Source organism: Homo sapiens, chromosome 5 (genome assembly GCF_000001405.40).
Source record: "Homo sapiens chromosome 5, GRCh38.p14 Primary Assembly".
Taxonomy (NCBI): Eukaryota; Metazoa; Chordata; class Mammalia; order Primates; family Hominidae; genus Homo; species Homo sapiens.
This window is the reverse complement of record NC_000005.10, coordinates 113,644,069-113,667,865: the sequence shown is the minus strand read 5'-3', so window position 1 is coordinate 113,667,865 and position 23,797 is coordinate 113,644,069. Positions and strand designations below refer to the sequence as shown.

At 40.0% G+C, this 23,797-nt stretch overlaps 1 long non-coding RNA gene across 1 annotated transcript in view, besides 1 other annotated feature; it reads right to left on the bottom strand.

Annotated features, from left to right (window-relative positions):
- LOC107986441 (uncharacterized) overlaps positions 1-23,797 on the bottom strand; it is a 62,022-nt gene that overhangs the window by 27,462 nt on the left and 10,763 nt on the right. The window lies entirely within an intron of this gene.
- Positions 2,150-2,252: a silencer, noted in NCBI's record as "fragment chr5:113001311-113001413 (GRCh37/hg19 assembly coordinates)". NCBI's record gives its function as "represses an EF-1alpha promoter that drives an FKBP-Casp9 reporter gene in an ReSE screen in phorbol 12-myristate 13-acetate-treated (for megakaryocytic differentiation) K562 erythroleukemia cells {active_cell/tissue: K562(+PMA)}" and the evidence as "EXISTENCE:reporter gene assay evidence [ECO:0000049][PMID:32094911]".

The window sequence follows — 23,797 nt, the reverse complement described above, 5'->3', positions numbered from 1 at the left end:
TGTCCTTTTTATGCCAATTTTGCTGAGGGTTTTAATCATAAAGGATGCTGAATTTTGTCACATGCTTTTTCTGCATCTATTGAGATAATCATATGATTTTTGTTTTTAATTCTGTTTATGTGAAGTATCACATTCATTGACTTGTGTGTTAGACTATCCTTGCATCCCTGGTATGAAACCCACTTGATCATGGTGGATTATCTTTTTGGTATACTGTTGGATTCAGCTAGCTTGCATTTTGTTGAGGATTTTTGCATCTACTTTCATCAGAGATATTGGTCTGTAGTTTTCTTTTTTGTTGTTGTTATGTTCTTTACTGGTTTTGGTATTAGGGTGATACTGGCTTCATAGAATGATTTCGGTTGGATTCCCTCTTTCTCTATCTTTAGCAATAGTTTCAGAAATAATGGTACCAATTATTCTTTAGATGTCTGGCAGAATTCAGCTGTGAATTCATCTGGTCCTGAACTTGATTTGTTGGCAATTTTTAAATTACTGTTTCAACCTCATTACTTGTTATTCATCTGTTCAGAGTTTCTATTTCTTCCTGATTTAATCTAAGATGATTGTACGTTTACAATTGTTTACCCATCTCCTCTAGATTTTCTAGTTTGTGTGCGTAAAGGTGTTCACAGTAGCCTTTAATGATCGTTTGTATTTCTGTGGTAGCAGTTGTAATATCTCCTGTTTTGTTTCTAATTGTGCTTATTTGGATCTTCTCTCTTTTTTTCTTGGTTAATCTTGCTAATGGTCTATCAATTTTATTTATCTTTTCAAAGAACCAGCTTTTCGTTTCATTTGTCTTTCGTATTATTTTTGTTTGTTTGTTTCAATTTCATTGAGTTCTGCTCTGATCTTTGTTATTTATTTTCTTCTGCTGAGTTTCGGTTTGGTTTGTTCTTGTTTCTCTAGTTCCTTGACGTGTGACCTTAGATTGTCTATTTGTGCTCTTTCAGACTTTTTGATGTAGGCATTTAAGGCTATGAACTTTCCTCTTAGCACTGCCTTTGCAGTATCCCAGAGGTTTTGATCAGTTGTGTCAGTGTTATCGTTCAGTTCAAAGAATTTTTAAATTTCCATCCCGATTTCATTGTTGACCCAAAGATCATTCAGGAGCAGATTATTTAATTTCCATGTATTTGTATAGTCGTGAGGGTTCCTTTTACAGGAAATAAAACACACAGTTTTATTCCACTGTGGTCTGGAAGGGTACTTGATATAATTTCAGTTTTCTTAAATTTATTGAGACGTGTTTTGTGGCATATCATATGGTCTATCTCGAAGAGTTCCATGTGCTGATGAAAAGAATGTATATTCTGCAGCTGTTGGATATAATATTCTGTAAATATTTGTTAAGTCCATTTCTTCTAGGGTATAGTTTAAGTCCACTCTTTCTTTGTTGACTTTTCTGTTTTGAGGACCTGTCTAGTGCTGTTACTGGAGTATTGAAGTTCCTCATTATTTTATTTTATTTATTTATTTTTTTGAGACCGAGTTTCACTCTTGTTGCCCAAGCTGGAGTGCAGTGGTGTGATCTCAGCTCACTGCAACCTCCGCCTCCCAGGTTCAAGCGATTCTTCTGCTTTCAGCCTCCTGAGTAGCTGGGATTACAGGCACGCACTACCACACCTGGCTAATTTTTTGTATTTCTAGTAGAAATGGGGTTTCACCATGTTAGCCAGGCTGGCCTCGAACTCCTAACCTCAGGTTATCTGCACGCCTCCACCTCCCAAAATGCTGGGATTACAGGCATGAGAAGTCCCCCGTTATTACTGTATTGCTGTCTGTCTCATTTCTTATGTCTAGTAATAATTGTTTTATAAATTTGGGAGCACCCATGTTAGGTGCAAACATAATATTTAGGATTGTCATATTTTCCTGTTGGGTTAGTCCTTTTATCATTACATAATGTCCCTCTTTGTGTTTTTTAATTACTGTTGCTTTAAAGTCTGTTTTGTCTGATATAAGAATAACTATTCCTACTTTCTTTTGGTTTCCATTTGCTTGGAATATATTTTTCTACCCCTTTACCTTAAGTTTATGTGAATCCATATGCATTAAGTGAGTCTCTTGAAGACAGCAGATACTGGTTGATGGATTTTTATCCATTCTGCCATTCTGTATCTTTTAAGTGGAACATTTAGGCCATTTACATTCAATGTTAGTATGGAGATGTGAGGTACTACTTTATCCATTGTGCTAGTTGTTGCCTGAATACCTTGGTTTTTTTTCATTGTGTTATTGTTTTTTAGGCCCTGCGAGATTTATACTTTAAGGAGGTTCTATTTTGGTGTATTTCGAGGTCTTGTTTCCAAAATTGAAATCCTTTTAGCATTTCTTGTAGTGCGGGTTTGGTAGTGCCAAATTCTCTCAGCATTTGTTTATCTGAAAAAGGATTTATGTCTCCTTCATTTATGAAGCTTAGTTCTCCTGGATACAAAATTTTTGGCTGGCAATTATTTTGTTTGAGGCTAAAGATAGGACCCCAAACCCTTCTGTATTATAGCGTTTCTGCTGAGAAATCTGCTGTTAATCTGATAGGTTTTCCTTTATAGGTTACTTGATGCTTTTGCCTCGCAGCTCTTAAGATTCTTTTCTTTGTCTTGACTTTAGATAACCTGATGACTATATGCCTGGGTGATGATTTTTTGCAATAAATTTCCCAGGTGTTCTTTGAGCATCTTATATTTGGATGTCTAGCTCTCTAGGCTGGGGAAGTTTTCCTTACTTATTCCCTCAAATATGTTTTCCAAACTTTTAGATATCTCTTCTTCTTCAGGAACACCAATTATTCTTAGGTTTGGTCATTTAACATAATCTCAAATTTCTTGGAGGCTTTGTTCATTTTTTTATTATTCTTTTCTCTTTGTCTTTATCTGATTGGGTTAAGTCAAAGGCCTTGTCTTTGAGGTCTGAAGTTCTTTCTTCTACTTGTTTTATTCTATTGTTGAAACTTTTCAGGGCATTTTGTATTTTTCTATGGGTGTCTTTCATTTCCAGAAGTTGTGATTTTTTTTCATTATGATATTTATTTCTCTGGAGCATTTTTCATCCATATCCTGGATTTTTTTTTTAATTTATTTAAGTTGGTTGTCACCTTTCTCTGGTATCTCCTTGAGTAGCTTAATAATCAAGCTTCTAAATTTTTTTATTTGGCAATTCAGAGTTTCTCCTTGGTTTGGATCCATTGCTGGGGAGTCTTTTTGGAGTGCTATAGAACCTCATTTTGTCATACCACCAGAATTACTCTTATGATTCCTTCTTATTTGGGTGGACTATTTCAGTGGAAAAATATGGAACTCATAGGCTGCTGTTCAGATTCTTTTGTCCCACAGGGTGATCCCTTGATGTGATGAACTCCTCCTTCCCCTACGGATGGGGCTTCCTGGAAGCTGGACTGCAGTGATTGTTATTGCTCTTCTGAGTCTAGCCACCCAGTGGGGCTACAAGGCTCCACGCTGGTGCTGGGAAGTGTCCCCAAAAAGTCCCGTGATGTGATCTGTCTTCAGTTCTCCCTGCTGTGGATACCAGCATCTGCTCTGGTGGAGGTGGCAGGGGAGTTAAATAGACTCTGTAAGAGTCCTTGGTTGTAGATATGTTTAGAGTGCTGGCTTTCTTGAATGCTGATTATGCTAGCAGTGAAGTTGTCACATGGACAGACTCAGGATCACTGGTTAGCCAGGATGTTGTAGGCAGTGAAATTAGCTGTTGTTTTCTCCTTCCTTGGAGCAGGCTTGTTCTGTCATGAGTTGTTGTGATGTCCTGAGTTGGCTGGCCTCCAGCCAGAAGGTGGCGCTTTTGAGAGAACACCAGTTTTTCGCCTGTCTCACGGAATGTGCAGCAGCCTGCAGCTTCTTCCAAAGGATCTCATTATTATTCGTTTAATACAGAAGTGCTAGTTCCTTAGTAGTATACTCAATGGTTCTAGAGAAAAGCAAAATCTTGATGGAATTTTTAGCCAAAGAAGTGCCTTGGATACTGGCTAGAACAAGTTAAATACTTCTGTGTATGGGGTCCATTTGGGTGTTACCTCTTCCTAAACTTCAAAAAAGAAATATGATCAAACAGAATGCATTAGCCCTATCAGCCTAATCTCATTTGGATGGGCAGCAGACAGTTCCAGACTAATCTCCTTCAAGCACTGCTTAGAAGATGTTCTCACACATCACCCTTCTGAAAGAGCTCACCAAACCCTACTGGATTTGATTTGATCCTTTGTTATCTGACAGGTATGGGGATCCATGGAGAAAGCAAAATTACTTAACATTATTGAGTGATTACTTCCTGTTGGAGATTTTGAGCACTATAACTGTTTCTACAATAACTCAAAAATACGCCATTCCCAGTACCAAGGGTGTGGAAAACCATGTGTTTTTATCTAGAGCACCTCAGCTTTAGAGGACTACCATGGGCAATGCTGACAATACCCACACTGTTGTTTTCATGAGCCCATTCTTCTAACTTCTCCTCAGAAAGGTCAAATAAATATGTTTCACGTGTACATAGGCATACCCACTCACAGAGATGCCAATTTAAAACCATGCTACATTAAAAATGAAGACAATCTTCAAATGTACTTCGGTGGGATATAAGACACTTAGAAAAGCAGCCCTTTGAAACACTGTAAAGTGAGCATGTATTTTCTCTACTACCTGTCAAAATCCCTAAAATAAAGGAACAAAGGGGCTAAACAAATTAAAAAGACAAAAGGGCAAGAAACCAGAAGACAATGGACCAGCAATGACAAGAGCATTCTAGAAGATGCAGAACAGAGGAATGAGTGACCACTGACTGCCCTGCCGATCTGTGATTGTGTGACAAACTACCATCGGGCGTAGCAACTTAAAACAACTATTTTTTATATTCACAGATTCTGGAAGTCAGGAATTTGAAAAGGACATGGCAGGAACATCTTGTCACTTCACAATGTTGGTGGTTTCAGCTAGGAAGACTCAAAAACTGGAGTGATTCAACAACTTGTGGGTATTAAAACTATCTGGAGACTCTGTTACTCATACAACTGGCAGTTGATGCTAGCTAGCTATTGGCCGGAACCTCAGCTTGGTCTGTCTCCTGAAACACCTGCATGTGATCTTTTTATGTAGTCTAGGCCTTTGTCAGGGCATGGCAGCCTAGGACTTCTTACATAGCACCTCGGGTATCAGAAGATGAGTGTCCCAGGAGAACCAGTCAGAAAGCACATCATCTTTTCTGATCTAGCTTTGGACACCACTTATTATTGTTTCGCTATACTCTATTGGTCAATCACTCACTGAGGTCAGCCCATATTCAAGAAGAGAGAACACAGACCCCCACCTTTCATTGGAAGAAAAGTCAAAGTATTTTCAGACATGTTTTAAAACCACTATATCTTTTGGGAGGGTGACGTGGGAGGATAGCTTGAGGCTGGGAGATTGAGACCAGCCTAGGAAATATGGCGAAACCCCATCTCTACAAAAAATTCAAAAATTAGCTGGTCATGGTAGCACATGCCTGTGGTCCCAGCTACTCGGGAGGATGAGGTGGAAGGATTGCTTGAGCCCAGGAGTTTGAGGCTGTAGAGAGTCTTGTTTATGCCACTGCACTCCAGCCTGTGTGACAGAGTGAGACCCTTTCTGAACCAAGAATCAATCGATCAATCAATCAAAATCACTACATCTACTTAGCAGAGTGGGAAAAGCTGGAATTTTAGAATTTGTAAAAGAGCATGCAAACAAAAACAAGGCAATTCATGCTGTAGAACTCTAGTACATCTTGGGAATTGAATACATCAGATACCAAGGTGAAGGGATAGGGTACAGCAAAGAGGGGGGAAGGTTGAAACAAAACTGGGTGAACCTCTACATAAGGAGCACTTCGGCTCCCAGATCCTTTCCCCAACTTGCACAGACAGACCACTAACCCAGTCTTACACCAGCAAGAGGAGAAAAATGTGTTCTCCGGAGCAGCAGTTCTTAAAGTATAGAGTCCCCAGGACACTTCTGGGGATTTACATGATCAAAACTATTTTTATAATAATACCAGAATATTATATGTGTTTTTCATTCTCATTAATACATAGGGGAGTTTTCCAGAGGGTACATGCAGAGAAGCTATGAGAATCCAGCTGCCTTCTATTAAGTTAGACATTTAAAAGATTTGTAAAGATGTAAAATAATGCTACTGTTTTCACTAAATTGTTTGTTATAGGAAATAATTGGGGTGGGTCAGAGGAATGTTGCTTTTTGGTATATTCTATTACACTATTTGACTTTTTAGACTATGTATTAGTCTAAGCATGCATTACTTTAATAGATTAAAAATATAGGGTTATGATTAAATTGGAATGTCATTTTGCAATTACTAATGAATTAATAGGTATAGGCATTGATCATCAAAGACAGCTAATGTTTAAAGAGAGAGAGACAACAAGACTGTGGGTGTTTCCCAAAGGATGAACAAAATACCACCTGTGAAGTAGACCTCCCCCAAGCCCCAAATCAAATCTGAATCTGAATCTGATTAAACTCTAGAACTCATTACCCATTTACAGGAAATACAAAGGATGTTAAACAGCACCACAGGAATATAATCAGCAATATCCAGACTATGAAAAACTCTATAGAGCAAGCAATTCAATTTCTTTAACTTAAAAGGGAAGGGGAGAGCAGGAGGAGGAAAAAAAGCAACTTAAGAAATACCTTATATATCCCCAGTGTCTAGGAATGGGCTGTTAAACTGGACTTTCAGGCCAAATACTCAAAAGAAAGGGAGGGTTTATTTCCATGTAACTACTTGGAATACTTGGAATAAAAGACACCCTTATGTCAACATCTCAGTGATGACAAGAGGTAAGCATATTTCAGTTTCAAATAGCTCATTATTCAGGAAAAGCAGCTTCTACAGGAAATGCCCACATATGTGTACCTAGAAGCCAAACCATGTGGTCCCCAATATGGTCATTCAGATGCATCCATTCTGCCTTGTTGAGGCACTACGCAGTGCTTGTCATCTAACTAATCATCACACAGGGACAGATTTCATTCCATGCAGGGCCTGTGGCCAAGGAAAATTCCACAACAAAAAGGAAAAATGCCCAAAAGACAGTTTCTGAATACTAATTAAAACCAGCAAGACTAAAATACAAGTATTCTATCTGTAAGAATAAATTACAATGAATCAAAACCCCTAATCATAAAAATTTAGCTTTGAGACAAAATCAAACATTCAGAGATCTCAGCACATATCTAAGTATGGGCACTTTTTACACTAGCCTACGTCAGTCAATATATGATATTCCCCTGACCACAGCCATGGGTTCAGGAATTCGCAATTAGCCCTGTCACTGCCAGTCAAGTACCAGGAGAGGTTTGCTGATACTTCTGGGATGGAGCAGTTAAAGTTTCAAGGACATAAGATCCGGAGCTGCTGCTCTCTGTCCCCCAAGGAATGAGCTTGCCTGAGAATGGGGCCCAAGTGAAGGGAGTAGAGCTGACAGATGGAAAGAAATGCGATCCCACTTACATTGTTTGATCCCCTAATTAAGCTACTGAGCATTCCATTAGGACCTCTCTGTCAATCATCTATTTACCAGTATGAGAGAGATGAGTTGGAATTTTTTTACAGCAACTGAAGAAGTCCTAAATGATACAAAGATAAAGGATATAGCAGGCAGAGGAGGTTTCACTGTAGCAAACAATGGCCTGCCCCAGCCCAGCTGCCCACAGCAGAGACATTTGGGCCTGAATCACCAAGCTCCCCTGTGGCTGTGATGCATTTGTGGCAAGAAGCTAGCATTTATCAGCTTTGTCCTTCATATCAGCATCTGCCCTGCTGCTGTAGCAGCATTAGGTAATATATTAGTTTCCTAGGGCTTCCATAAGAAATCACCACAAACTAGGTGGCTTAAAACAATGGAAATGTATTCCTTCACAGTTCTGGAGGCCAGAAGTCACAAATCAAGGTGTCAGCAGGGCCGTACTCCCTCCAGAGCCTCTAGGAGAGATTCCACTCCTTGCCTCTTCCAGCTTCGGGTGGCTACGGGGATTGCTCGGCTTGTGGGTCCATCATTCCAATCTCTGCCTTCTTGGTCCTACAGCTCTTATTGCCTTCTCCTTTTCTCTCTAATCTCCATCTGCCTCCCTCTAAAAAGGATGTTTGTCATTGGATATAGGACCCACCCAGACAACCCAGGATTATCTCCTCATCTCAAGATCCTTAATTTAATCTCCTCTGCAAAGGCACTTTTCCCAAATAAGGTAACATGGAACGTGAACATATCCTTCTGAGGGCCATCATTCAGCCCACTACAGGTAATTAATGTCCTTAAAAACTCATCGCAGAGCATGAAGCATCTTGTTGAGGTAATACTCTGTGGCATGTTGGTTCCCAAACTGCTCACACACTACAAACACCTGGGAAACTCACAGTGCCCAGATGGCACCCCATGCCAACTAAATTGTAGTGTATGGGAGTGAGAACCAGGCCTCAGTCATTTTTAAGGATTTCCCTCTGGTGATTCCAACAATGTTTTGGGAACCACAGGTTTCATAGCAGTTCTTTATTTATCTTTTCACTTATCTTCAAGTTCAAAATTCTTTGATATACTTTTTCTGTTTATTAAAACTCTTAAATGTTTCCCTCATGGTTTCTTTATTAAAATAAAGTCATTTATAAAAAAAATCTTATTGGATATTTGCTTATGTTTTTCCCTTGATCACGCTTATGAGAACTTAGGAACTGCTCTCACCGCAGAGATCCACAAATTTGCCAGTCCTTTCCCAGTGTACACATCTCTGCCAATGGCAAAACCAGCTGCCTTGGATTTAATTCCTTTGAGTAAAGATTTGTACCCACTGGATTGCACGCCATTTCCAAAGAATTACTTTAAAAGGAATGATTAAACTTTAAAAGTTTTGGGGTCTATAAAGTAACCCCAGAGAATAAAAGGAAGAGATGGAGTTTTGAAGGAATCTTGGTAATGGATATGGAAAAGAAGTGTTTAAATTTCTTGTATTTCAAGAGAGATGGTTTGGAATGCTTTCAAATGAGGTCAATAGCTGTAGAGAGAATCTCAGCACGTAGCACTGGTCCTATGACACTGTGTACTCAGGAACATGCCTAGTTTCTTTTTGCAAAGAAAGTAAGTTCAGCTTGAGGCAAACATGTAGTTAAATTAGCTCTAGATATTGAAACCATAACCTCTGACCATTCTCCTTATCAATTTTTTATCAAACGTACCATCATTCTAATGAAATATTTGAGGTAAAAGTATTTCTCAGTATGCATCTCTTCTCACATTGATTCTTTAAGTTCTTAGATGCAGAAAAAAGTTATTGCATGATCCCAAAGTCCAGAAAAGAATAGAAGATAGCACGTCCTTACCTAAAGAAGGGTTTTTATACCTGTTTTATATTACTGAGAGTGATTTTTTCCCCCACAATATCAGTGTGAAATCAGTCATGAGTATTTAAAAACATTGTTTATATTAACATATATTTTTCTAGGTAATGTGACTTTTTATATTATATTTTAATATTTGCTAAACCCTTTAATAAGTTCCAGATATCATACTTCCTGTCTTATAAGTGCTCATGGCCAGAGGACAGAGAAGCCCTAATGCAGTCAAAATCAACAAATATTTATTGCCTACTTTATGCAATGCATTTTTTTAAAAATGAGATAACAAGAGGTTCCACACCATTCATGGGCTGGAGAGATTTCCTGGGCCTTGAGTGAAGACCAGGGCTTGAACAAGGAGAGCATGCTACCCAAGGAAATCAGTAGGAGCAAAGGAGAATATATATGAAAGTAAGCCATGGTGGCAGATACCTGGCTGTTGTTTGCTAAGGATCAATTTCTTCCTTTTTCAATAACTGCAAGCCAACTTTCTCTGACAATCTATTCTTCTTTCACTCTCAGCTTGCCACAGCTTGTGGATCCTAACAGAAAACATAAAACTCCCGGGCCGGAATCAAAACACTGGGTTACTCACAGCAATAGTAGTTGCCAGAGTATTCACATTTTCTTAGGTCAGTTCCAAGCCCCAGTTACCAAAAAGCAAAGCAATGAGAGCCAAGTGCTACCTGCACACTCAGTAGGGTGTTACAGGAACCCAATATTTTACAATGAACAGTAAGCATGGCTGCCTTTGTTCTGGAAGGAAATACTATCTCTATCTTCCAAGGATGTTTGCCATAAAACATCATTGAAAAGATAGCCCAAAACAAAGTCATTCAGTGCTTCTGCTCACAAGATGTGCAGAAAGCCAAGAGACTCATGGAGAAATGTCTGCCAATGCCTACATTTTGGTTTTCGAGTTCATTCTTCTCCATGAAGTATACTGAATATACAACCACTCAATTAAAAGCTATTAGTCATCCGGCAGACTTGAATGACAAGGAGCTTACTACCTTAATTCCCCCAATGAAAAGGAAGGACCAGAAGAACTACATTAGGAACTGCACCTACTCATGCCTCAGAAAAGCATAAAAACCTTGCTAGGAAATATTGACGGATACAACAATCCCCAAACTTCAACTCTTGAGAGAGGATTTTGGATTTCAGTGAGAGAGAGTACGCAGCCATTTTCAGAAAACATCATTTCTTTACTGAGGTAGAAAGAACATTGACTTCTGCCTTTTTGTAAATCATCTATTTCATTTGCCAGGTTACTTTCAAACCATCTCATTTTAAAGAGAAGTATGCATCATAAAAATAAAAACATATTTTTCCTTGTTTCTTTTGTCTGATAAAGTAACAAAGGGTAACATGTTTGAGAGAGGTGAATTTATTACAAAGAAATTTCTACTTAACAATGTGGGCAATAAACTAAGGAAACCTATTACCTTTAAGTGATCATGCCAGTGAATTTTTTCAAAGATTTAGACAAATTCGTGAGTAAGAAATGGGTCTTAGTTCAGGCTGTTACAACAAAATACCATAGATTGGGTCCCTTAGATAACAGACATTTGTCTCTCACAGTTCTGGAAGCTGGAGGTCCAAGATCAGGATGCTGGCATGGCCAGGAACCAGTGAGGGGGCCTCTTCCTAGCTTGCAGATGGCTGCCTTCTTGCTGTGCCCTTGCATGGATGTAAATTTCTCACTCTTCAGTCAGACAGGCAGAGAAAATGTACCTTTTTAGTAGAACTCTTCTGATCATTTGCACAAGTATCCACCAGTTAGTAGCAGAGGGAAAACATTTACCCTTTAATTCAATCTAGTAATTTTCTGTCTGAGACCATACTCTGAACTCTCTTGAATTGACTTATCTCTTTTGAAGGCTGCAAGGCAGAGCCCCTGGCTTGCATCATGCAGGAGACAGATACAGCCAGACTTCTGGGACTTACCAGGCTAGGACCATGCCCAGGCTTTCCAAGCTCCTCCCACCCACCACCCCTGCCCTAAGATGGCATGTAGTTGTGTGAGGGGCAGTGGAGAAGGGGATCTTGGATCTGGGATTGGGTGGTGCCCTCTGGCTTCTCTGACCTCTACATCAACCCCCCTAGTCAGCCTGGTCCCTTCTTCCTTGGCCAGTTACAGTACCAGTCAGTGCTTGGTGTAATTTGTGATTTGGTCTTAAAAACCAACAAATAAAATCCTAAGCCCCCAACCTACTACATGGATCTCCTCTTGGCCAAGGAGACCCCAAGAAACCTGAAAAACTGAATTTCCAGCCATGACAAGAAAGGAGGTCGGAAGTACCTCGTTATACCCTTTCCCTTTTGGAGTTTATGCACAATTGACCAGCATTAAGGTTAAAATAGCGCTCAAAAGGCTGACATAACAGACTCTTTATGGCAATAAACTACCAAATTATAAACAAGACCTAAGGCCATGCAAGGTAAGGATGAAGTCACACCCTACAAACCATAACGTCTTGGTAAATGGTTTTTGTTGCTGTTGTTGTTTGTTTTGAGATGGTGTTTTGCTCTTGTCACACAGGCTGGAGTACAATGGCACAATCTCAGCTCACTGCAACCTGTACCTCACGGGTTCAAGCGATTCTCCTGCCTCAGCCTCCTGAGTAGCTGGGATTACAAGCATGCGTCACCACGCCCGGCAAATTTTTGTATTTTTAGTAGAGACGGGGTTTCACCATGTTGGCCAGGCTGGTCTTAAACTCCTGACCTCAAGTGATTCGCCTGCCTTGGCCTCCCAAAGTGCTGGGATTACAGGTGTGATTCACTGCACCTGGCCAGTAAATGGGTTTTTTTATTAACCCAGTATAACACGGCTTACTTTTCAACCTGACTCCAAAATAGCATCACCTGACAGCACACTCTGAAGCAAATCAAAATACTTTACCCCAAAATACATTTTACTGATGTATTTTGAAATGGGCCTGCAAAGTTATCTTTTGTAGGGAAAATTTGTACCTGTAGAGAATCTCCATTAATACAGCCAGGGCTTCCGTTTTTAGGCCTTTCCTGAATATATAAGAGATTACTTAAGACTCTGACACCTTTCAAGATCTGAAAAGTGACATTTACCATCTATTCTCGCTGAGGGCTGATACCTATGAGGCTTTATCTACATAACAAGGGCCTTTGCTCCCATAAACCTCTTAAATCAAGCACACCTTACTACTGACTTCATGTTTCCAGATGATAGTTTAACTCTGTAAACCAATTAACTAAAGAATATCCAAAACCCACCTATGACTTGTATGCCACTGCATGGAAATATTCCATACTTGGAGATGTCCTCCCATTTGGGGCCAAATGTGTACCTTCCATGTATCGACTTATGTCTTTGCCTGTAACTCATGTCTCCCTAAAATGTATAAAACCAAGCTGTAACCCAAGCACCTCAGGACCTCTTGAGACTATTCCCCGAGCCATGATCATTCATACTGACTCAGCAAAAACTTCTTTAAAACATTGTACATAATTTGGTTTTTCCATTAATGGTCTCTTTGGCTGATCCAGGCCTGGCAGTGCTCACTGCTTTTCTTGGCTACTGGAAGTCTGCTGCATGGCCTGTATGATCCTTCAGCTACACTGCAAAGACACCCTTTCCACTGGCACAGCCTAGAGTGACTGCCTCGGTTAAATTTCATGTCCTTCCTGGATTGTGTCTATGCTACCCGTTAACCAAAGTGGGGGGGGGGATGCTAAGCTTAGGCACCCCTTCTGTGTCTAAAACCACTCAGCCAACCATTTAATTTGATGTGGCCACCACCACAAATCAGGAGACATTTACAAATAATCCCCTAGCCCCAACACCAAAATGCCAATTGAGGATAGGGCTCGCTCCTGGCCTTTGGCCTTTCCCTCAGCAGATCCTCAAATCTTTTAGCCCACAGAGGAGGGATTGGGATGTCTCTCACCCCCATCTACTCTGCCTTTCTTCTTTCCTTATCCTACAATTTTTCAGGACAAGAGGATTTCATTTCTTCTATTCTTCGTGTATGAGGATGTGCAGAAAAGCAAACTGTTTTTTCTCCCACAACTCTCTACTTTCACAACACAGAATGCTTCTATGACCAAATGTGTGGGGATTGTTCCCCCAACACCAACCGACCAATCAGTTCTGCAGTGGACACCACCTGGGTGTCCTCTAATTCAATTAGATTGTGATGCTGTCTACCTGGAGATAGCATCGAATCCCACAGGTTGAGGGCTCAGCCCTCACAAGACTGCCCCTGACTTCAGATGACACTTGTAAGCCTCATGTTGTTTTACCTGTGCTTCTAACCTATCAGCTATATATCAGGGTTCCCACAATCCCCTCTTCAGGTTTGACTGGTAGGTATGACTGAAAGTTCCAACCTCTCATCACATAGTTGGTTCCCATGGCAATCAGTCCCCATCCTGAGGTCACCCAGGAGCCTCCAGCCATCAGTCAACTCATCGGCATACATAAACACACCTACTACTCTGGGGATTTCAAGGATTTTAGGAGTTGTATCTCAGGATATCAGACAGAGACCACAGATATATTTCACAATATCAAAGGGGGTATTTTTTTTTAATCTTTGTGGAAGAAACGATACTGATCAAAATCCTCCCTGTTTGGTTCTTGATATGTATAAAATTTGAGGAAACTGAGAAAAATGGTCCATCCTCAATAATGTCTGTCTTGCAAGCTTATTGCCTTAATGCAAAATCCTGTTTGAAATACCAGAAACTGAACACAAATTCTTTCTTTCTCTTTATATTTCCACTGTAACAATCCTTTAACTTTACCTCTATCCCCAGCCATATGAATCCCTCAGGATGTAGAAGAAAAATACATGGAAAGGCAAAAAAGAAAAGCATGGCTTTTAAAAATGAATATTACCTCTGTCAGAGGCGTTTGAACCAGAGTAACTCCATCTTGAATAGGGGCTGGATGAAACAAGGTGAGACCTACTGAGCTGCGTTCCCGGGAGTTTAGGCATTCTTAGTCTCAGGATGAGACAGGAGGTTGGCAGGGTTGATATCACAAGGTACAGGTCATAAAGACCCTGCGGATAAAACAAGATCTGGTAAACAAGCCAGCCAAAACCCACCAAAACCAAGATGAAAGTGAACTCTGGTCATCCTCCCTACTCATTATATACTAATTATAAGGTATTAGCATGCTAAAAAAAAAAAAAAAAAAACTCATCAGTACTGTGACAGTTTACAAATGCCATGGCAATGTCCAGAAGTTACCCTATATGATCTAAAAGTGTGAGAAGCCCTAAGCTGCCCCTTTCTTGGAACACTCATGAATAATCTACCCCTCGTTTAGTATATAATCAAGAAATTACTACTCAGTCGAACAGACCATTCCACTGCTCTGCTTATGGAGTAGACATTCTTTTGCTTCTTTATTTCTCTAATAAAATTGCTTTTGATTTACTCTATGAATTCACCCCAAATTCTTTCTTGATTAAGGTCCAAGAACCCTCTCTTGGGGTCTGGATCAGGACCCCTTTCCAGTAACATCTCAGTTGTAGTCACACTTAACAGCTGTAAGTACGTACATTTTCTGATTCTTACATGCAAATATTGCTGCTACCTTTTTTCTTTAAAAGTTTTTCCTATTCAACCTTAGAGACTTTATCACTTATGCAATGTATGAGCTGTTAACTTGGACACTCACTCGCTTAATAACAGGTACACCTAATGTAACCGAGCAGCTTAGCTTCAAATTGCATTTTAAAACTTTTTTTCTTTCCTCCTTTTCCCCAGTCTCAAAACATAGCTTTGAGACAAACTATGGATGTGTTTTCTTTTGTCCGGAAATACAGCCTTGGAATGTGCTTTAAAACTCCACTCCCTTCCCTTTCAACCCACCTTATGCTCTCACGCCATATGCACATTTATTTACCTGGATGTTTCTTACACTCACACCATGCCCACTTAGCTGGTCATATATTTCCTTAGAAGCTTCAAGGGCCGAATTCTGACACAACCTAGGCACCGCCAGAACTCTCTCCCCAGCTGAAGATACTTCGAGGGCGGAGTTCACTCCCAGCTAGAAATTAACAGCAAGATTGACAGCAATTAATCTGTAACCTAGTTAGGTCCACGATGGAGCCGGCCCCTTCACCAGATGGAACAAGAATTCAAGATAAGCCATTGGAGTGAGTCACGCCACCTGGCACCTCCTAGCCCCTCCTTTCCTCCCCCATATTCCAAGTCCCCTTCTTAAAACCCCTGCCCTCTCTTCAGAAATTGGAAAGGTGGCAATTTTCAGAAAGGATTCTGGCCTCTTCCCCACTTCTGGCAACAGATAATAAAATTCACTCTTTTTATCACCCCTCACTCTTGTCATTTTGGCTTTTTTTTCTACAAGTGGAGAGCAGCCGGACCATCTTTTGGTTACAATAAGCCTTTACTATGGAGATAAAACTACAAAGAATAAATAAATTAATGCCAGAAAATAGTATGCTTTTCATCTTATTTCCATCATTTAGCAACAGTTTGCTTTTTAGGTCACTTTTCTTTTTTTTTTTTTAATTTTTGTGGGTTTTTTTGTTTTGTTTTATTATACTTTAAGTTCTAGGGTATATGTGCACAATGTGCAGGTTTGTTACATAGGTATACATGTGCCATGGTTGTTTGCTCATCAACTTGTCATTTACATTAGGTATTTCTCCTAATGCTATCATTCCCCCAGCCCCCAACCCTCAACAGGCCCAGTGTGTAATGTTCCCCACCCTGTGTCCAAGTGTTCTCATTGCCCAATTCCCACCTATGAGTGAGAACATGTGGTGTTTGGTTTTCTGTCCTTGTGATAGTTTGCTCAGAATGATGGTTTTCAGCTTCACCCATGTCCCTGCAAAGGGCATGAACGCATCCTTTTTATGGCTGCATAGTACTCCATGGTATATATGTGTGACATTTTCTTAATCCAGTCTATCATTGATGGACATTTGGGTTGGTTCCAAATCTTTGCGATTGTGAATAGTGCTGCAATAAACATACGTGTTCATTTGTCTTTATAGTAGCAAGATTTATAATCCTTTGGGTTTAATGGGATTGCTGGGTCAAATGGTATTTCTAGTTCTAGATCCCTGAGGAATCGCCACAATGTCTTCCACAAAGGTTAAACTAATTTACACTCCCACCAACTGTGTAAAAGCATTCCTATTTCTCCAAATCCTCTCCAGCATCTGTTGTTTCCTGACTTTTTAATGATTGCCATTCTAACTGGTATGAGATGGTATCACATTATAGTTTTGATTTGCATTTCTCTGATGACTAGTGATGATGAGCATTTTTTCATGTGTCTGTTGGCTGCATAAATGTCTTCTTTACAGAAGTGTCTGTTCATATCCTTTGCCCACTTTTCAATGGGGTTGTTTTTTTCTTGTAAATTTGTTTAAGTTCTTTGTAGATTCTGGACATTAGCCCTTTGTCAGATGGGTAGATTGCAAAAATTTTCTCCCATTCTGTAGGTTGCCTGTTCACTCTGATGGTAGTTTCCTTTGCTGTGCAGAAGCTCTTTAGTTTAATTAGATCCCATTTGTCTATTTTGGCTTTTGTTGCCATTGCTTTTGGTGTTTTAGTCATGAAGTCCTTGCCCATGACTATGTCCTGACTGGTATTGCCTAGGTTTTCTTCTAGGGTTTTTATGGTTTTAGGTCTAACATTTAAGTCTTTAATCCATCTTGAATTAATTTTTGTATAAGGTATAAGGAAGGGACCCAGTTTTAGCTTTCTACATATGGGCAGCCAGTTTTCCCAGCACCATTTATTAAATATGAAATCCTTTCCCCATTTCTTTTTTTGTCAGGTTTGTTGAAGATCAGATGGTTGTAGATGTGTGGTGTTTTTTCTGAGGCATCTGTTCTGTTCCGTTGGTCTATATATCTGTTTTAGTACCAGTACCATGCTGTTTTGGTTACTGTAGCCTTGTAGTATAGTTTGAAGTCAGGTAGTGTGATGCCTCCAGCTTCGTTCTTTTGGCTTAGGATTGTCTTGGCAATGCAGGCTCTTTTGTGGTTCCATGTGAACTTCAAAGTAGATTTTCCAATACTATGAAGAAAGTCATTGGTGGCTTGATGGGGATGGCATTGAATCTATAAATTACGTTGGGTACTATGACCATTTTCACAATATTGATTCTTCCTATCCATGAGCATGGAATGTTTTTCCATTTGTTTGTGTCCTCTTTTATTTCATCGAGCAGTGGTTTGTAGTTCTCCTTGTAGAGGTCCTTCACATCCCTTGTAAGTATGATTCCTAGGTATTTTATTCTCTTTGTAGCAACTGTGAATGGGAGTCCACTCATGATTTGGCTCTCTGTTTGTCTGTTATTGGTGTATAGGAATGCTTGTGATTTTTTGCACATTGATTTTGTATCCTGAGACTTTGCTGAAGTTGCTTATCAGCTTAAGGAGATTTTGGGCTGAGATGATGGGGTTTTCTAAATATACAATCATGTCATCTGCAAACAGGGACAATTTGACTTCCTCTTTTCCTAATTGAATACGCTTTATTTCTTTCTCTTAACTGATTGCCCTGGCCAGAACTTCCAACACTATGTTGAATAGGAGCGGAGAGAGAGGGCATCCTTGTCTTGTGCCAGTTTTCAAAGGGAATGCTTCCAGTTTTTGCCCATTCAGTATGATATTGGCTGTGGGTTTGTCATAAATAGCTCTTATTTTGAGATACATCCCATCAATACCTAGTTTATTGAGAGTTTTTAGCATGAAGGGCTGTTGAATTTTGTCAAAGCCCTTTTCTGCATCTATTGAGATAATCATGTGGCTTTTGTCATTGGTTCTGTTTATGTGATGGATTGTCTTTATTGATTTGTGTATGCTGAACCAGCCTTCCATCCCAGGGATGAAGCCCACTTGATCATGGTGGATAAGCTTTTTGATGTGCTGCTGGATTTGATTTGCCAGTACTTTATTGAGGATTTTCGCATCAATGTTCATCAGGGATATTGGTCTAAAATTCTCTTTTTTTGTTGTGTCTCTGCCAGACTTTAGTATCAGGCTGATGCTGGCCTCATAAAATGAGTTAGGGAGGATTCCCTCTTTTACTATGGATTGGAATAGTTTCAGAAAGAATGGTACCAGCTCCTCTTTGTTATACCTCTGGTAGAATTTGGCTGTGAATCCGTCTGGTCCTGGACTTTTTTTGGTTGGTAGGCTATTAATTATTGCCTCAATTTCAGAACCTATTATTGGTCTATTCAGAGATTCAGCTTCTTCCTGGTTTAGTCTTGGGAGGGTGTATTTGTCCAGGAATTTATCCATTTCTTCTAGATTTTCTAGTTTATTTGCATACAGGTGTTTATAGTATTCTCTGATGGTAGTTTGTATTCCTGTGGGATCGGTGGTGATATCCCCTTTGTCATTTTTTATTGCATCTATTTGTTTCTTCTCTCTTTTCTTTATTAGTCTTGCTAGCAGTCTATCTATTTTGTTGATCCTTTCAAAAAACCAGCTCCTGGATTCATTGGTTTTTTGAAGGGTTTTTTGTGTCTCTATCTCCTTCAGTTCTGCTCTGATCTTAGTTATTTCTTGGCTTCTGCTAGCTTTTGAATTTGTTTGCTCTTGCTTCTCTAGTTCTTTTAATGGTGATGTTAGGGTGTCAATTTTAGATCTTTTCTGCTTTCTCTTGTGGGCATTTAGTGCTACAAATTTCCCTCTACATACTGCTTTAAATGTGTCCCAGAGATTCCAGTACATTGTGTCATTGTTCTCATTGGTTTCAAAGAACATCTTTATTTCTGCCTTTATTTCATTAATTGTCCAGTAGTCATTCAGGATCAAGTTGTTCTGTTTCCATGTAGTTGTGTGGTTTTGAGTGAGTTTCTTAACCCTGAGTTTTAATTTGATTGCACTGTGGTCTGAGACACACTTTGTTGTGATTTCTGTTCTTTTACATTTGCTGAGGAGTGCTTTACTTCCAATTACGTGGTCAATTTTAGAATAAGTGCGATGTGGTGCTGAGAAGAATGTATATTCTGTTGATTTGGGGTAGAGAGTTCTGCAGATGTCTATTAGGTTGGCTGGGTGCAGAGCTGAGTTCAAGTTCTGGATATCCTTGTTAACCTTCTGTCTCATTGATCTGTGTAATATTTACAGTGGTGTGTTAAAGTCTCCCATTATTATTGTGTGAGAGTCTAAGTCTCTTTGTAGGTCCCTAAGGACTTGCTTTGCATATATATTTAGGATAGTTAGCTCTTCTTGTTGAATTGATCCCTTTACCATTACATAATTGCCTTCTTTGTCTCTTTTGATGTTTGTTGGTTTAAAGTCTGTTTAATCAGAGACTAGGATTGAAACCCCCGCTTTTTTCATTGGCTTGGTAGATCTTCCTCCATCCCTTTATTTTGAGCCTATGTGTGTCTCTGTACATGAGATGGGTCTCCTGAATACAGCGCGCTAATGGGTCTTGACTCTTTATCCAATTTGCCTGTCTGTGTCTTTTAATTGGGGCATTTAGCCCATTTACATTTAAGGTTAATATTGTTTTGTGTGAATTTGATCCTGTCATTATGATGTTAGCTAGTTATTTTGCCCATTAATTGATCCAGTTTCTTCACAGCGTCGATGGCCTTTACCATTTGGCATGTTTTTGTAGTGCTGGTACCGGTTTTTCCTTTCCATATTTAGTGCTTCCTTCAGTAGTTCTTGTAAGGCAGGCCTGGCAGTGACAAAATCTCTCAGCATTTGCTTGTCTGTAAAGGATTTTATTTCTCCTTCGCTTACGAAAATTAGTTTGGCTGGATAGGAAATTCTGGGCTGAAACTTTTCTTTAAGAATGTTGACTATTGGCCCCCACTCTCTTCTGGCTTGCAGGGGTTCTGCCGAGAGATCCACTGTTAGTCTGATGGGCTTCCCTTTGTGGGTTACCCGACCTTTCTCTCTGGCTTCCCTTAACACTTTTTCCTTCATTTCAACCTTGGTGAATCTGACAGTTATGTGTCTTGCAGTTGCTCTTCTCGGGGAGTATCTTTGAGGTGTTCTCTGTATTTCCTGAATTTGAATGTGGGCCTGCCTTGCTAGGTTGGGGAATTTCCCCTGGATAATATCCTGACGAGTGTTTTCCAACTTGGTTCCATTCTCCCCGTCACTTTCAGGTACACCAGTCAAAGGTAGATTTGGTCTTTTCACATAGTCCCATATTTATTGGAGGCTTTGTTCGTTTCTTTTTACTCTTTTTTCTCTAGTCTTGTCTTCTCACTTTATTTCATTAATTTGATCTTCAATCACTGACATCCTTTCTTCCACTTGATCGAATCAGCTATTGAAGCTTGTGCATGCATCACAAAGTTTTCATGCCATGGTTTTCAGTTCCATCAGGTTATTTATTCTAGTTAGCCATTCATCTAACCTTTTCTCAAGGTGTTAGCTTCCTTGCGATGCGTTAGAACATGCTCCTTTAGCTCAGAGAAGATTGTTATTACCGACCTTCTGAAGCCTGCTTCTGTCAGCTCGTCAAAGTCATTCTCTGTCCAGCTGTGTCCCGTTGCCACTTTTCTTTTTTTGAAACAGGAAGGGTCTCAATAGCTTGCCCAGAGTGCAGGGTGCAGTGGCACTGTGATAGTTAATACTGAATGTCAACTTGATTGGATTGAAGGATACAAAGTATTGATCCTGGGTGTGTCTAGGAGGGTGTTGCCAAAGGAGATTAACATTTGAGTCAGTAGGCTGGGAAAGGCAGACCCACCCTCAATCTGGTTGGGCAAAATCTAATCAGTTGTCAGCACAGCTAGAATATAAGCAGGCAGAAAAATGTGAAAAGAGAGACCGGCCTAACCTCCCAGCCTACATCTTTCTCCCGTCCTGGATGCTTCCTGCCCTCAAACATCGGACTCCAAGTTCTTCAGTTTGGGAAATTGAACTGGCTCTCTTTGCTCCTCAGCCTGCAGATAGCCTATTGTGAGAACTTGTGATCGTGCGAGTTAATAATTAATAAACTCCCCTTTATATATGTATCTATTCCATTAGTTCTGTCCCTCTAGAGAACCCTAATACAGGCACAGCCACCTTGAATTTGGGGGCTCAAAATATCCTTCCACTTCAGCCTCCCAAGTAGCTGGGACTACAGGCATGGACCACCACACCTGGCTAATTTCTTATTTTTCTGTAGAGACAGAGTCTCACCATGTTTCCCAGGTTGGTCTTGATCTCCTGGGCTGAAGCCATCCTCCTGCCTCAGCCTCCCAAAGAGCTGTGATTACAGGCATGAGCCACTGCACTCAGCTAGACAGCTTTTTATTTCTAAGATGTTTTTCCCATGATTTCTGTGATTCTCATGGCCTACTTTACAGTGTATTCGATTGGCGTGGATTTTCATGGGCAAGAAACTATCTCGACAGTTTCTCTCCATATCAACAATAGCAAGCCAGAAGTGAATGCCCAAAACTTTAACTCCCTTTAAAATAGTGAAATGAATACATTGTACCAAAAAGAAAAGGAACTAGTTACTCCAGTTTAAAAATGTACAGAAATCCCTAAATTCACAGGGAGCTCTCCATCACGTTAGCTTTGTAGCCTAAAGAAAATACTCCACAGGGAGAACTGGTAGATGCAGCTTTCTCACTTCCACTTCCCTGCCGGGCTTTCACTCAAAATTAGCACTTTCCTAAGTTTCAGCTTCACTCTTCTAACCACGTACAAAAGTCACTGTAATTGTTTCCTTCCATCACTGCCACCTCAATTCTCCTCTCTGCAAAGTATGGTTAAATAAAACAAGCAGAGTTCTTACTTTCTAACAAAGGTTGCAGACAGGCCCAAAGCAAGAACTGCTGGGCACTTATACCTGGGCACAGGAACTCTGGCTGTCTCCTGAAACACCAGAAAGTAAAGTCAAGAAATTAGTGAGGATTTAGAAACTCAAACCAACCAACACTTTCTAAAGTTTGGCAGCATAATAATCTAAGAAAGATTTTTTTCCATTAGAAGATTTTTTTTTTAACTAGCATTAAGTTACAGATGCTATGCTTCAGGCTGCCAGGTCATGTCCACTTTTTCTAGTGAAACGTTTGAAAAGATCTTCCTTTCTCTCATGCTGGTACAATACTCAAGGATGAAAACAGTAACCTATTAAAAGTAAATACTGTTTTAACCCTAAACAAACTGTAGATAGCAGCTAATTTTTTAAGACAAAAACACAAGGCTCTCAAACAGGTATTTGCAAACCCATCTTCATAGCAGTGTTGTTATTCACAATAGCCAAAAGGTGGAAACAACCAAAATGTGTATCAGTGAATTAATAGATGAACAAAATGTGGTGCATACATACAATGGAATATTATTCAACCTTAGAAAGGAAGAAAATTCTGATACATGTGGCGACATGGATGAACCTCGAAGACATTACGTTAAGTGAAATAAGCCAGACATAAAAGGACAAATATTGGCCAAGCACAGTGGTTCATGCCTATAATCCCACCACTTTGGGAGACAAAGGTGGGTGGATGGCTTCAGCCCAAGGTTGGAGACCAGCCTGAGAAACGTGGCAAAACCTCGTCTCTACTAAAAATACAACAAATTAGTGGGGTGTGCTGGCACGTGCCTGTAGTAACCAGCTACTCGCAAGGCTGAGGTGGCAGAATCACCTGAGCTCAGGAGTTCGAGGCTGTAGTAAGCCAAGATCATGCCACTGACCTCCAGCCTGGGCAACAGGAGACCCTGTCTCAAATTTAAAAAAAAGGACAAATATTGCACGATTCCACTTATATGACATATTTGGAGTAGTCAAATTCATAAAGACAAAGAAAAATACTTGTTATTATATATTACTGAGGAGAGGAAACAGTGGGGAGTTATTGCTTAATGAGTATGGAGTTCAAAATGATAAAAATGTTCTGAAGATGTGTAGTCGTAATGGTTGCACAAGAATGTAAATGTGCTTAATACTACTGAAGTGTACACTTAAAAATTTCTGAGGTGGAAATTGTTATGCTATATATATTTTACCATGGTAAAACACATATAAGCCAACTGCAGTGGCTCATGCCTATAATCCCAGCACTTTGGGAGGCCAAGGCAGGAGGATCACTTGAGGCCAGCCTGGGCAAAATAGTAAGCCGTCATCTCTACCAAAATAAATAAATAAATAAATAATTAGGAAGGCATGGTGGCACATGCCTATAGTCCCAGCTACTCAGGAGGCCGAAGTGGGAGGATTGTTTGAGCCCAGGAGGTCAAGGCTGCAGCAAGCCATGATGGTGCCACTGAACTCCAGCCTGTGTGACAGAGCAAGACTCTGTTTCAAACAGGTAAAAAACAAGACACATACACACATCCAAAACTGTGTTCTTGCTCTCAAAATAAAAAGTTCCTCAGTCCCATGCTCCCATACTTGCCTATGTACTGCTGAGAATCCCATTTTTGTTTTAGAGTACCAATCCTATGAGGCACACTTTCACCAG